Source organism: Homo sapiens, chromosome 1 (assembly GCF_000001405.40).
Source record: "Homo sapiens chromosome 1, GRCh38.p14 Primary Assembly".
Taxonomy (NCBI): domain Eukaryota; kingdom Metazoa; phylum Chordata; class Mammalia; order Primates; family Hominidae; genus Homo; species Homo sapiens.
Genome location: NC_000001.11, coordinates 112,313,181 through 112,328,895, shown reverse-complemented (window position 1 = coordinate 112,328,895; position 15,715 = coordinate 112,313,181). Strand labels below are relative to the sequence as shown.

General features: G+C 44.4%; 1 long non-coding RNA gene across 2 annotated transcripts in view, besides 2 other annotated features; it reads left to right on the top strand.

Annotated features, from left to right (window-relative positions):
• Nucleotides 1-15,715, top strand: part of LINC02884 (long intergenic non-protein coding RNA 2884) — a 130,935-nt gene that overhangs the window by 31,712 nt on the left and 83,508 nt on the right. The gene's annotated exons all lie outside the window — the stretch shown is intronic.
• Nucleotides 2,668-3,167: an enhancer, noted in NCBI's record as "H3K4me1 hESC enhancer chr1:112868351-112868850 (GRCh37/hg19 assembly coordinates)". NCBI's record gives its function as "activates a minimal SCP1, AML or CMV promoter by ChIP-STARR-seq in naive H9 embryonic stem cells {active_cell/tissue: H9 hESC(naive)}" and the evidence as "EXISTENCE:reporter gene assay evidence [ECO:0000049][PMID:30033119]".
• Nucleotides 8,455-9,654: an enhancer, noted in NCBI's record as "MED14-independent group 3 enhancer chr1:112861864-112863063 (GRCh37/hg19 assembly coordinates)". NCBI's record gives its function as "activates an origin of replication core promoter dependent on BRD2, BRD4, P300/CBP and CDK7 cofactors, and independent of MED14, by STARR-seq in HCT116 cells {active_cell/tissue: HCT116}" and the evidence as "EXISTENCE:reporter gene assay evidence [ECO:0000049][PMID:35650434]".

Genomic DNA, 15,715 nt, shown 5'->3' with positions numbered 1-15,715 from the left:
ATGAGTTTTTTACTCACCTTGCCCTAGCCCTAACCTGCCTCCTGTGTCAACCACGAAGGCCCCAGACAGCAAGCCCACTGATGGCCCACTAGGAGGCCTTGTGGGGCAGAGCTGAGAGGGCGGTGCTGCTGCAGCGGGAGGAGGACTGCATTTCTTTATTTTCTCCCCAAATCTCAAAAGAGCAAGGTGCTGACAAGAGAGTGGTCTCAGGGGCTTTGAAGATCAGAAATTGTGAATTTGGGTTTTTCTTTGAAAAGAGAATGCCTTTAACTTTGCTCCTTAGTGCCCTGCCTGATTGCCTGTTAGCAGCTCTGTTCTTTCTTTTATTCTTCTCCAGCAGGGTCCCTTAATTTGGTGGCACCAAATGTTGGATGGGCTTCGGGAAGTCTGTGAACACCCTGAGAGGGCATGTAAGAGTGTGGGCTTATGTGTCTATACGCATTTTAATGGGGATGGGCCTGTGGCTTTGATTAGATTCTCAGAGAGGCCAGTGGGCCCAAAGGTGTTGAGAAATGCTAATCATTTGTCTATTGGAACAAAAAACTGTTTTGAGGAAGTTTGCCTGGGGAGTTCCTTATCTAAGGATGGAGCTTTTAATCAAGGTGTGGATGAATGGAAATGAAAGACAGGAGTTGGGGGACTTGTGAAAGACATCTGCACTCTGTCCCTAGACCTCAGGAGAACTTCCACTGTGAGGCCTTTTAGAGTGCTTGTAACATTCACTTTCACTAAATATTTCTTATTTTTCCCTTTGTCTCTTTGCTACTAAAACAAAACAGAAGAGAAAAAAACATTAGAAATCAATGAACCTTAAGATAATGAGAAAACAAGTCATAGACTGAGAAATATTTGCAAAAGATATTTCTGATAAAGGACAGTGATCCAAAATATACAAAGAACTCTTAAAGTTCAACAATCGGAAAGCAAATATGGGCAAAAGACCCACACAGGCACCTCAGCAAGGAAGATGTACAAATGACAAGTAAGCATATGAAAAGATGCTCAACAACATATGTCATTAGAGAATTGCAAATTAAAATGATGAGCTGCACTACTGCGTATACCTAGTAGAATGGCCAAAATCCAGAACATTGACCACACCATATACTGCTGAGGATGTGGAGCAACAGGAACTCTCATTCATTGCTAGTGGGAATGCAAAACGGTACAGCCATTTTGGAAGACAGTTTGGTGGTTTCTTAGAAAACTGAACATACTCTTAACCATATGATTCAGCAATTGTACTCATTGGTATTTACCCAAATGAGTTGAAAATTGTGTCCACACAAAAGCATGCACATGAATGTTTATAGCAGTTTTATTCATAATTGCCAAAACTTAGAAGCAACCAAAATATCCTTCATTAGGTGAATGAATACATGGGTACACTCAGACAATGGAATATTATTCAGTGCTAAAAATAAATGAGCTAGCAAGCCATAAAAAGATGTAAAGGAATCTTAAATGTATATTAGTAACTGAATGAAGCCATCTGAAAAAGTTACATACTGTGTGATTCCAACTGAATGACAGTCTGTAAAAGGCCAAACTATGGAGAGAGTAAAAGAATGGGTGGTTGCCAGAGTTCGGGGTAAGGGAAGGATGAACAGGCAGAGCATGAGATTTTCAGGGTAGTGAAACTACTCTCCATGGTACTATAATGGTGGATGCATGCCATTCTACATTTGTCAAAACCCATAGAATCTGCAACCCCAAGAGTGAACCCTAATATAAACTATGGACTCTGGGTGATAATGATGTGTCAATGTAGGTTGATTGATTAAAACAATAGTGAGCAAGGCTGTGCTTGTGTGGAGACAAGGGAATACATGAGAACTCTGTACTTTCTGCTCAATTTTGCAGTGAACCTAAAACTGCTCTAAAAAACAATCTATTAAAAAAACAACCAGGCTGGGCATGGTGGCTCACACCTGTAATCTCAGTACTTTGGCAAGCCAAGGCAGATGGATTGCTTGAGCCCAGGATTTCAAGACCAGCCTGGGCAACATGGTGAAACCCCATCTCTACAAAAAATTAGCTGGGTGTGGTGGTGTGCGCCTGTAGTTCCAGCTACCTAGGAGGCTGAGGTGGGAGGATCACCTGAGCCCGGGTGATGGAAATGGAGGCTGCAGGGAGCCATGATTGTGCCACTGTACTCCAGCCAAGGCAACAGAGTGAGACCCTATCTCAAAACAACAACAACAACAACAACAACAAAAATCCAAAAAACATTAACTTTTTGAGGTTACATGTTTTCTTTTGGAATAGGATGGATGGGGTGGAAAACAGAGATGCTGTGATGTTCCTAGGTGGGTTAGGCTGAGGAAGCTCTGGTGACCACTGGAAGCCGGCAAGCAGGCTGGCTCTTTGCCGCAGAGGGAAGGAAGACAAGAAAGGGGAAATTGGCCCAGGGCAGAACTGTGCATCCAGAGGTTGCAAAGAAAGTAAGAGACCCCCAAAATAACATCAAAGTATCTTCCACCAGTCAAGTGCTTTCTTTATGCCAGGTGTTCTGTTTTGCACCCTACAGGCATTATTTATTTAATGCCCACAACAACCCCATGGGATAGGCAGACCTCATATGGTATAATAATGGGCACTGACCAAACAGAATGGAGGCAGCTGGAGCAAGGTCCTGGAGCTTGCTCTTGTGCCAGGCGCTGACTTTTTAGTTGCTAGATTGTCAGGAGGTCAGGGTAATCCTAGGGAGAGGCCAAGGTGGAGAAATGGGGAGACCACTGGGGTGGGGGTGGGGGAGGCTTGACCAGGTGTTCTCAAACTTTAGTGTGCATCAGAATCACCGAAAAGCTTGTTACAACATAGATTATGGATGATGAGGAGGCTTGAATCCACTCTCTCTGACCCTGAAGACCCAGCTGTTTCCCTCAGTTTCCAGTCTGCTGGCACCCTCAGGGCAAGTAGAGATCTTGGCCAGGGCTGGAGGTGAAGCTAGCAGCACGTTGGAAGCTCTGCCTACTCCTGCTGGGGCTCACCTTCTCTCTGCTGGCCTGGGGAATGCTACTGAGATTCCTGAGTGGCTTGGCGCTGGCTTCCTTGGCCCCCTCCCTCCCAAGTAGCAGCTGTGAAGTTGACGAATTACGCTAAACTGTGATGCCTCCTCGGGAGCCTGTTCCAGGACGTGCCGTGATGGCTTCCTAAGAAGGCGACAGGCACGTGGTCTGCAAACGAGCCGCTTGCTCTCTCGCTCAGCACAGCAGCTGCTCAGAGGCAGCGTGGGCTCTGAACGGCCCGCCAGGGGAGCCTATTAAGAGCCACAACACTGTGAAAAGAACAGCAGAAACGCTCCATTAAATCTGGTGGGGGGCCTCCTTAACAATGGGACCTGCCCCAGGAGTCATCACTCCACTCAAACCTGCCTCAGTCTCCAGCCTGGCTCTCCTCTCTCTGCCCCTGCAGTCTCTTCCCAAAAGGGCTTCGGGCTTGAGAAACTCGAGTTCCTGGCTGAAGCTGGTAAAACTGTGGCTGGAAGGGTGTAGCAAGGGCCCAAGCAGGCAGCGAATCCAATGGTAATGTTCTCTACACTGCCTGGGATGGGAATGAGAATGCTATTGGGTGTAGGGCATGATGTTGATGAGGATGCTGACAGCAAGGATCTGGGCATAGGGACCTCTGCTTTGGACCTGCCCGCTGTAATCCCCTTCCAGCCATATTCCTCCCCAAAGGGCAATAAATCCTTAAGGCCAGGAGGATACACCCACCCAAGGACGGTGACCCTCTTTCTACACCATACTTCAGGTACCTGAGAACCTGCAATTCCCTGCCAAATGGCTCCACACCTGCTCCTGAGTCTGTGTAAGCTTCTTCTCAGTACTTCCTTTAGAGAATGGACTGTCCCACTGGGGTTGTGGACAGAGCTTGGACATGCGGGCTGGGTGTCCACATGTGTGTGAGGTCCCTCAAGGGCAAGACAGAGCCCAGTGTGGGAAGAGGTGGGGGGCAGCCTGGGGGTGGGAAGTCATCCTTCTCCATAGCTCCATTTGCCAGTGCAAGCTCCCAGGAGCCTGGAAATTCTAAATTTAAACTTCTCAGGCTTATGAAGGTATATTTATCAAGGTAGGAGGGTAGAGTATATTTTTCTTAACAGTTTGTTAACTTGATTTATAATTTTAACCATCGTGCTCCTGGCTAAGTGTTTGGGGTGGGCCCAAGTGCAGGTGGTGGTGAGAGCAGGCTCTATTTATCATCTAAGTGTCTCAGAGAGGCCAGGCCAAGGGCCATGCTTTCAGACTGGCAAGCCAAGTGCCCAGTGAGGAGGCAGACACTGCGTGCTTCTCCAGGCCCTGCAGAAAAGGCTCACTTGTCTTCTGGAATCTTCTGCTCTGGGATGATAATGATAAAGATGAGGGTGCTGGTGAGCTGGCAGGAGCCCTGTAAAGAGGCACTTGGGTAAGCTATGGTCTTGTGAGGAAAGGGCCCTCTTCCAGGCACATCCTCCTTGACCTTTGACCATGCCCTCGACCTCACCAGCTTGTTGGGGGAGAGACAGACATGCTGCTCTTGCCTTCTCATGCTGGTGCTTCTGAGATCGCATCTCTTCTTCTTCCTACTGTTTATCTCTATGTGTCCCCTACTCCCATCCCATCACAGATACATCATGAAGTAGTGCAATAACTCTTAGGAGGGAACAGACCACTAGGGGAGGAAGCCCCTTCCTTGAGGGCTTCTGATAAAGACCTCTGTTGGACGTGGCAGTGTTTCCCCATGAGCAGTGCTACTGGAGGGCTTGTTTGGGAAGGGACTTGGAAAGGAGAATCACCTTTGTGATTTCCAAGAGGCCTGGCTGCTACTGGCAGGAATGGGAGGAGAGGAAGAGAGTAGAAGACCCTTCTTACATTTATCAGAAACCAAAAATTTATTTGAAAGACTTTCCTGGATCTCCTTCATCTATGTATCTGTCACCTGTCTATCAGTCAGTCAACCTATCTATCTAATCTCTCACCCTCCCTCCATCTGTCTATCATCTATATTTGTTGGTTTCTTTTTTCCAAACATGAGTTTTTAACATAGTGACCACGGGCCTCTATTTTCTAGGCTGTGAGCCATATTATTACCTTGTTTAATCCTTGTGAAAACCCTGTGAAGTATTATCCTTATTCCATAAATGGGGAAACTGAGACTTTCAGAGGCAAAACAAACAGCCTGAGGCCACATAGGTCAGAAATGGCAGAGTTGGGGCCTAAGTTCATGTCATCTGACATTGAGTTTTTTGCTGCTTGCACTGAGTGAAGATTATCTCTAGGCAAATTCTTTCTTTTTTTCTTTCTTTCTTTCTTCTTCTTTTTTTTTAATCTGGAAGAGAAATGCTGCCTTGAGTGTTTGCTTATCTCTCTCCAGCAGGTTCCCAGGGTCTTGGTTTCGGCTCTAGCCCTGAGGGGCCTGATGGGCATCAGCACTGACCTTTCTGTGTGGCTGCAGGCTTGGCCCATCTGCTCACCAGAGCGCCTTGCCACTAGCATGCTGTCTGGGTGTGCCTGGCAGTCAGAGTGTGCAGGCCGGCTTTGACAAAGTGACAGAAGCTGTAAAAACAGCTGTTTGATATTCCCTGCTTTTAAAAACAAAACAACCACAAAGAGGTTGAATGAAATAGAGAAAATACCCTTGTTTCATGCGTATATTTTTACTTACAGAACATTTATTTTCTCCTTTCCTTTCTCTATTCCCTGTTTATCTACCCAATCATTTGCTTCCCTTCCTCCTTGCCTCCTTTCTACTTCATCCTCCTTCCTTCCTTCTTTCTTTCCAACTAAAAAAATCTTCCTGCTTCTGTTTCTATGTCTTTTTTTCATCTACATTTTCTTCTCTTGAAATAACTATTAGCTATTTCTCTTTGTTTTCCATTTTCACATCATCCAAGCCTTTGTATATTAATTTGTCTCTAGCTTTGGGTTCATACCATCCCAAATGTGTAGTATGATGAACTCCAGTATTAGTTATATGACAGCCCATGGTGTCTTCAATTAAACCAAGGTGCGGACAGGAAACTCTAACACAAAATGAAATAATCTCTCCCTGCCAAACCATCATTTAATTTAGATAACTAAAAGTATGCATAAAAGAACAGGACATCTGGCAGTAATTGGCAGCCCCAATGGCCACCTCCATCACCTCCAGCTACAGAAACTTGGAGAGTTTTGTTGTCATTTTTAGCTTTAATTTTGAAATTGTGACTGAGCTCTGCACTGTGGTTTCATCCAGGTTCAAAAGCATGCTTCTGTTCAATCAGCTGTTCATTGTACAAACTCCTTCCTTATAGTGAGAGGAGCTCCAGGTTTCAAGGCATGCACAGATAGAAATAGGTATATTATATGCATTCAACTTAGTCATTCATTAGATGCAGTTTGACCAAGCTTAACATAGATTAACTTTTACATCCTGCAGTCATTCTTGGCCCTTAAGATCACTAGATTCCAGGCCTTTACTCCTATGCACGTTATCTGCATTTTCCAGAGCCCTTTTAGGTTCTCTTGTACCTAAAAATCCTTTGCTTCACGGCCTACTTAAATTCCACTAATGCTATGTCCCCTACCTACTATCTCCCTTTCAATCCCCTTTTCCTCTACTCTATCCAGACAAAGCTATTTCTTTCAACTGCCCTCGAATGCCCTTTACAGTTTGTTCCCCATGTTTCGTCATCCCTTGTTCTAGTTATTTTCCCTCCTAAACTGATAAGACATTTCCTGTCTCCTTCCCCTTCTCACTTCCTACTGTCTTATTCTCCATCAAAACCCTCGTGGCTTATCTCAGACTTGGCATTGTGGAGCTGCCGGTCCATTTCCACATGCAGAAGATGACGCTGGGTCTGCAGCTGGAGACAGCTACGATTGCTGTCAGATCTGTGGCCACATACAGGCTTTCTACTTCATCCTCCCTGAATTGGATCTACAAATATATCATTCACAGAATGGAAAAGTTTTGAGCCTCCCTCTAATCCCTGCATGGACCTAATCCCCACATGGAGGAGAAAAGGTGATGGCTACAGGCAGGTAGGGTTTATAAGATGCAGGAAGGGCTGAGTTATGCATTCACAAACATTTCTCCAACTTCGCCAATAAGATAGGTCATTTCTTCTCCTTTGGGGAGAACCAGAGGGAGTGGAGAGAGGATGGAGAGAGTTTTACTGTTCTTTCCCTGGGAATGAAGTGGCATGCCCCTTTCCCCATGGAAACATAGGATGTAGGGTATGGCCCCCTAATATTTGACTTTTGGACAGGAAATAGAAAGGGGCTGTCACAAATCCCAAGGGGTTGGGATTTTTGGTGACCTCCTTAATATTTTTACTACGGTCCAGGGAAGGGTGGAAATTGAGGTCCCTCCACCCCATCTCCTAGCCCTTTCCCTTGCTGACTTCAACTCTCACCCATCCATCCTTTAAGGCCTTTACCCACTTGTCCAAGCTATGTTTGTACAAGTGGGTATGAGGGGTGTGCATATTTTTGGCACTGACTGCCCTTGGAAATATGGACCTGTGGAAGTGGCCTGTGAAGGGCAGGGAATTCCAGTGTCCCAAGTACCCAGAGTGTCATCTACAAGGGAGTTCATAGGCTCTTGGAGGGCATGTTTCTTCACCTGTGGACTCATCACCCTTGAGGAAGGGATAAGAGGGAAGAGGGGTGGGCCACAGGGGTCTCTAAACTGTGGAGCCAAGGGCAGAGGTCCTGGTTACCCAGGTCCAGGGTGGTACTGTATATATGCCCTGCAGCTTTACCGTATACCCATTAATGGGTTTTGCTGACTTCCTGTTCCTGGAGATGTTCCTATTAGAAGATGCCAAGGGCAGAAGTGCAAGCACAAGTGGAATTGCAGACCTGGGACCTTCTCTTTAGTTTTAACACCTTTCTGATTCCAGCCAAGAATGTGTCGTGATTCCAAAACACACTCAACAACGATGTGTTAGGTCTATTTTGGTTTCTGCATTGATTCACAATGAATAAAAATTAAGTTGGTACTAAATTTTATGGACTCATTTTTTAAAAATTCCTCCCTTTTGAGCATTAACTAGATAGTGCCTGTGGAAGCTGAAGACAATTTTAATTAGCATATTATCACAGCAAAGAGGAACCCTGATAATTGCTCGGCAACCTCAAGTTGCAGCCTTCTCTCACCCGGCAACACTCCTCCAAGTACTTGTCTCTGTACACCCTACCCATCCTTTAGCACTCCCAAGACTCATTTTTATTACAAAGTCATCTCCAGTCACAGTACCCCTATCTTTTGCTTGTCTAAACTTCTAGATATGTGCCAACAGGACATTCCCACCCTTACCCCATCCCAGGTTGCTTATATTAGTAATGAACTTCCATGTCTATGCTTTGTCTTCCTACTAGGTTCTCCTGGTAAGTAACTGGAAGGTAGGGATAACATCTCAAGGAGGTTCTTCCTAATAACCAGGTGACTTTCCTTATATTCTAATGAGTTCCTAAGTAGAAATGAAAGAGAGAAGTGAGAGAATAAAAGCACTAAGTAGCAATTAGTCATGTAGCTCACGTGCTGTAGAGGAAGACAGAGCTGTTTTCTAGGGTAATGGTTTTTAAGCGTTACTGGTCCTTAGACTCAACTGAGAAATGTGTACAAAATGCAGACACCCAGCCCTCCTGCCTCAGAGACTCCCAGTAATTCTGATGCAGATCAAGATTTGAAAACAACTTCCCAGGGGTATGACTTGCAAAACCAACCCTACTGACAAGAAATATCACATGAATTTTTAAAATACTGTTTTTTTTTTAAAGAATAAGAAGTCTCCTATGAAAGTTGACAAAGTACAAATAGAATAAGTTCTCTTTGCACACACACCTATAAAAATGATACTAACAAATATACATGTCAAATGCAAAATTGGCTACTTCATTTGAGCTGGTAGGTTTAATTCACTTATAATTAATCCTAGGTTTATTTTCAGCTCTGACCAGTTTGCATTTGACCTTCTTACCTGTCCTCATGCTCTCTGTTGTTTCTGTAGTTTTACTCATTAACTGTTGGATTTGATAGCCCTAACGCGGACTCCCAGGTCAGGCTTGCTCACTGACATGCCCAGCACAGAGTCCTGCCTTCCGCCCACTGCCTGAGTGCTTGTCTTGACATGTAGGAACATTCTTTCACTCCATTGCTTTAATCAGGGTTTAAGACATAGAAGAAACATTTTAAATTGTCATATTCTTTATGCTTATTTAAAAATCCAAAGTATAAAGTAAACGAATAAATGTATAGTTTATTTCATCTCTCAAATGACTCAAAATATCCTCTAGACTTCAGACACACAGTTAGAAAACCATCCTTTGAAGTTGAAAAATGAGAACGAGGTTAGAATACATATAACTAACCCACTGTGAGTTTGTAAATGTATTTTCAGTGAGTTTAGATTAATTTGCAAATCTTCTTAAGAAACAAAGATGTCTCCCACGTCTTTCCAAATTAAAATGTGATGTGAAGAAAAGTTGTATAATTAATTGTAACATGTTTGAGGTGATGTTGTCAAACAGAAGGTTGGGTACTGTCTTGAGTCCAGATAAAAAGGAACACCAATAAACATTTGCCAGCACATGCACCTGCGATTTCCATCTATTTCATCAGTATATTCTTAGAACAGAGAACGGGTATGTTCAAACAGAACATATGTTCCAGAACAAGACAACATTTTTAATAGGAATACTCTCAAAGTTTCAGTTCTATACTTGGCTTCTTAACCTGGCCTTATGGGTTTTCATTCACTTATATTTTGTCTCAGATTTCTTGTTTCTTACTAGTTTTTTTTTTTTTTGGCACTTTTATAATATTCTGATGAACTGTTGCTTTAAACTTCCATTCTAAGATTGGCTATTGAAACCAGTTTCACTTTCCACTAAGACCTTATATTCCTTTTGCCCTGGTTCTACACTTGCCACTAGGGAGCTTTTGGCCTAGCCACGAAGAGGGGACTCCTGGCACTCTTTCAGGAAGAAGGCAGGGTGGGCAGTTTTACCTTCAGTTCCAGAAATGCAAACCTCTTGAGAGCTGAATGTGTTCTTGCATCCTCAAAGCAGTACCAGGAGAAGAGCCATATTTGGAGGCAAGTGTTGGGCATATCCAGCCTGGGCAGCCACTTCCTGAGCCTCTCTCCAGTCACCAGGCAGTAAATGGTTTATAGACACAGAGGGACTGGTATGTCTAATTAGAAGACAAGAAGCTAAGGGTACACTGCCAGCCAAACAATAAAGTGGTAGCAAGCATTTAATAATGATAAGTAATAATGACTTTTTGTTAATTATGATTAATGGTTCATTATTTAAGAATATCTAGGCATTATTTTATGCATTTTTACATCTAGAATTTTATTTCTCAAAATAACCCTATGAAGCAGGCATAATATTATCATCATTATAGAGATAAGGAAACTGAAGCAGAGAGTAGTTAAGCAACCTTTCCAAGGCCACACAGCTAGTAAGTAGCAGAACTTGGATTCCAACCCCGTCTGATTCCACGATGAAGATTTTTTGACCAGTGTGTTATACTATCTTCTGTGTATTACAGGGTAGGGGACACTGACATTCAGAGTTGTAACAAGGCCTGGGGTTAATTAACCTGGACTCTGGGCTTAGAGTATTATGACCCATGCCAGGCCCCAACAAGTGCTGGGCTTGTGTTGCTGAAACGGCTTCTTGCCCTGGTTAGGATGAGTCCTGGAACCAACGAGGCCCGAGGCCACAGAAAGAGGATGGATCTGGGAAAGACATAAGCTGACAGCCTCTTCATTCCCTCACTTAATTTCAACTTTGTACAAAACAGCTGCTCTTTATAGATGTGTTGTTTAATTGACTGATTGAAACTAGAATTCAAAATGACCCAAGGACAGTGCCAACATTTCTCCAAAGGAGGGGCTTAACAGATGACAACTGGTTGAGAAAAGAGGAGGCAGGCAACGGAACTGGTCTTGTAGTTACTTTGTACAGTCAACTATGGTTTTGTTTTAAAAAGTATGTTTATTTGGGGTAGCTTGGGAGCTGATGGAGATTTGGCAGGAAGAAAGAACCTTCTCTGAGACATTTCCTGGTTCCGCCTCTGGCGAGTGCTGAATGTGGATGTTATTAACATGTTTGTAAGTTCAGTGGCATCCATGTACATGTGGTGTAATGGTGTGCTGGCACCCTCGGATATAGAGAATAGCTGGGCACTTACAGCTCCAAGTGGTTTTGAAAGGCAGGGGCACGGCTAGTGTGTCTGAAACCTACCTAACTGAGAGCCGAACAGGAAGAGCTCAGGAATCTGCACTCTGGGATAGAAGTGTGCTTAGTTTAGTGATCAAGAGTGGATAAAATTCCATTAGAGGTAAATGTTGTCAGACAGCAGCCTGGAAAGATATATTTTAAGCTGAGAAATTACTTAATAAATTCAGACCAACACTCTGTGACATTTCCCACAAGACTTTAATGCTGTTTACAAATTCCAGAGAACACCCTGAGTCGTTTCTGGCATGGGCTTATGATTTATTTCAAAGGAAAATGGGACAGAGTGTGTGGGTTTGTGTTTAATGTGAAAAGGGATTTGGAGATGAAAAGTCAACTGGCATGAAAGATTGCAGGGCAAATGCAAAGCAGCGGAGCATGTGGGTGGCCTTGGAGCATATAATAGGGTGTTGAGAAGGGAAGGGGCCTCTCACCACTCAAGCACTAATCAAATAGTTGCATTTGCACAGGCCAGTAATGCATTCAAGAGGGTGAGTTGGAGGCAATGATAGATCCAGGGTTTCTGAAGCACTTGAATCCCAAGACTTTCATATGAAGAATAGGCAGAGCTTCCACCCTAAGGAGGGAGGGCAATTATATTTCATTCTCCACAAAAGTCAACATTTAGAGGGCACGACCTTCATCTGCAATGAGACGGACTTCAGTTAGACCAAAGGAAGTTATACAGAAAGAAAATAAGACCTTGGGCTAAGAACGTGAAGGAAGATCTTCCGGCAAGTTTTTCATGTCTCATACCCTGTGTTTCTTGGAAACAGAAGGATGGATTAGGTGACCTTGTGACTTAATCTCCTTATGGACAGAGGCCATTCAGGGGTCAGGGAAGGGGATGTAATCCCTGGTTGGCAGCTGGAGTGGTCCGGGGGACAGTGGGTTCAAATACTGGGTGACGAGGAAAGCAGCAACGTGAGGACAGGCTGGCAGGGGGAGGAAAAAGTGAAAAAGAATTTTTTTCCTCCCTTTCCGTCTCTGCCCTCTCCCCTGGAAACTCCAAGTCCCATTCATCTTGTTTGCCACTGAATATGTGGTTTGAATGGGAAATGAGGACAGTGACATCCCCCATCTCTCTTGGGGGAAAAAAATGACATTCCATTTGGTTTTGGAAAATACACAATATTCCACTTATAAAATATTCAATCACTGTCATTAATCCTCCCGCCTGGGCTAGCCCTGCCCCACTTAGGCATGAGCTACGGACTTGGGCTGTGGCCACAGGCTCAGGAACCACTCAGGCTTCTTTCTGCAGACAGTGTAATTAGAGCTCAAGGGTCCTCTGGTCTTAGAGTTGAGTTCTCCAGGGTAGGAATCTGGGTCTGCTTGGTGCTTCCAAAGCAATCGCTAGGCTTAGAGTCGAAGGGCTCTAATCAACATGGGACCTCTTGCAACCAGGGCTGAGGCTTTACAGAGAAATTTTAGGCCTTGAAAGATTAATTCCTCTTAGTGCAACCAAGGGCACTATCCCACTCTCCAAAGCTCATCTGCCTTAAAAAGTGGCCAATTCTCCCCACTCCTCTGCTATCTTACTGTTTTTTTCCCTCAAACTTTTCTTTCTTACCGTCCTCTTTTTGTCTCTTCTCTCTGTTTTTTCTTATTGTTTTAAATTTTATTAAGGTATAATTGACAAGTAAAAATGGTATATATTTATTGTGTACAATGTGATGTTTTGATATGTGTACATATGATGAAATGGTTAAATCAAGCAAGTTAACATGTACATCACCTCACATATCATGTTTTTGTGATGAGAACATCTAAGATAGACTCTTTTAGCAATTTTCAAGTATATAATACATGATTATTAACTTTAGTCACTATGCTGTAAAATAGACCCTCAGAATTTATTCATTCTGCCTAACTGAAACTTTGTACCATTTAACTAACATCACTGTATTCCCCCGAACCCCCCCACCATTTCCAACCCCTGGCAACCACCATTCTACTCTCTGCTTCTGTGAGTTTGGCTTTTTTAGAGGCAAGTATGTGAAGAAAGGGTAATTCTTGTACATTGTTGGTGGAAATGTAAATTAGTACAGTTATTATGGAAAGCAGTAGAGAGGTTCCTCAAAAAAATTAAAAAGTAGAAAAAATTTAAAAATATATGATCCAGCAATCTCACTACTGGGTAGATATCCAAAGGAAATGAAATTAGTTTGTTGAAGAGATATCTGCACTCCCATGTTCACTGCAGTCTTATTCACAGTAGGCAAGGTATGGAATCAACCTAAGTGTCCATCAACAGATGAATGGATAAAGAAAACGTGATCTATGTATGCAATGGAATATTATTTAGCCCTAAAAAGAAGGAGAAAATCTTGTCATTTGTGACAACATGGATGAATCTGAATGACATTACGCTAAGTGAAACAAGCCTGATGCCGAAAGACAAATTACTGCATAACATCTCTTTTATTTATAATAATCACAGACTCTCAAAATGTCAGAGCTAGAAGGAACTTGAGGAACTCTCAAATCCAACTCCTTTATTTGACAGTGGAGGAAACTCAGGCCCAGAAACAGGAAGACACTCTCGGATCCCTCAATAGATGTTTTCTTCGAAACCTGAAAGCAACAGCTCCCTCTTCTTCTCCCCACTGCGCTCCCTCTAGAAGAGTAGGCTATTTGTCAGCTTTCTGCGCACCTTGGCTGGAAAGAACTCTGTGATGTGTAGCTCAGCCTCCTGGGGATTCTCTTGACCTGGTGTACTCTCAGAGGATGAACTGAGGGCCTAATGTGGGGCAAGCTGGCAGACGGCTATTCAGTTCTAACTCCCAGGGCACAGTTTTCTGTGTATTGCTCTGCTTCCTGCTAAAATAATCTTCTTGTTGCAAGCGTTATATTTCTGCCCAGATGCTCCCTCACTCTGGGCATCAGACTCTTGTGCCTCCTGAGCCCCCTTGGCTTCCCATCTTGGGCCATCCTAGGATGCAGGACTCACCCCTGGGTCATGCTCTTCACCCTTGGCCGGGTGCTCTGTGCTCTTGCCCTCCCAGCCCCTAGAACACTCAGCCCTCTCTCCGCATTCTCTTTGCCTACCAGAGACGCCACTGGACATCACCAGAACTCCAAATTGGCTTGGATTTGGCATTTGGCGAACATTCCTCAGGACTTTTTTTTTTTTTTTTTGAGATGGAGTTTCGCTCTGCCATCCAGGCTGGAGTGCAGTGGCACGATCTTGACTCATTTCAAGCTCTGCCTCCTGTGTTCATGCCATTCTCCTGCCTCGGCCTCCCAAGTAGCTGGGACTACAGGTGCCCGCCACCAAGCCCAGCTAATTTTTTTTTTTTTGTATTTTTAGTAGAGACAGGGTTTCACTGTATTAGCCAGAATGGTCTCGATCTCTCCTCAGGACTTTTTAGGAGGCAGCCTCCAGCCTAAAAAGTAGGGAGAGTGGGGAGGGTAGTTTTTTCTTCTGAGAGGTAAACCAGCTACCAGGCAAGAATGGCACTTTGGTGCATCACACTCTCCTCCAGCCTGACCCCAGACCCTGAGGGGAGGTTGTTGATGTTCTTGCTGCTGGAACATTACATTCCTTGCCAGAAACTCACTCCAGCTTGTGAGGCATCTGTGGGTAACTGTCCTTAGCATCCAGCTGTTGGCACCAGGCTCCTGCTAAGGGTGGGGACATGGGCCTCAGGGCAGGGTAGACAGATACCTCTGCTGCTCCCCCTCTCCTCACCCCTTCAGGTCCCACAAGTCACCACCCAGGCCCAGGAGACTTACGGCCCAGGGGAGAGGGCCACCCAGAATCACAGAGTGGAGGAGCTCTTAGGAGACGTCACTCCTTTTGTCTAGGAGGTTTCGTCTAGAAGTTTCCCCAAGTCCCATAGTTTGTTAGTGACAGAGCCGGAGCATGAGCCATTGCCCTTGCTTTCTGGGATGTGAGGTGCCATCACCAACATGGCCACCATGAGCTCCCCAACAGCTCTGACAGTTCAACCAAATAGGGAGATCACCAATCACCCTTTTTCCCCAGAGGTAGAAAGAGTCCTGCCCGGTGCTCTGATATCAGGCTTCTTGGTCCTCCTTGGGTTTGCAGTATTCCTTAGAGGGGTACTGGCAGACACCAACCTGTGCTGGAGACCAGCACTGCCAAGACCTTTCTGGGGATAGCCTGTCTGTTCTGGACTTCACTGTCTCAGCTACTCCAAGGGTATACATAAGAAGTGGGTGGCTAGTTCATGGTGGCTGGGAATTACAAAGTCCTTCCAGGTGTGCAGAGGAATGAAAGTTGCATTTTTATTCTAAACATTTTTAGACATGCTTGGAGATGAATAGGAGAGGGGTGGTTTGGGTCTGGAGAAGGACCTACCCCAGATGCTCGCGATGCTAACTCTTGTTCTGTTTTTCTCCTGTTCCTTTCAGCACTGCAATTTCGTGATTCTAAATGAAACATTCTGCGATGATAGCCTTTCTAAGGAAGGGATTGAGCTAGTGGCTCCAAGGAAAAAAATATATCCTAGGAGCTGTTTGACTCTGAATCT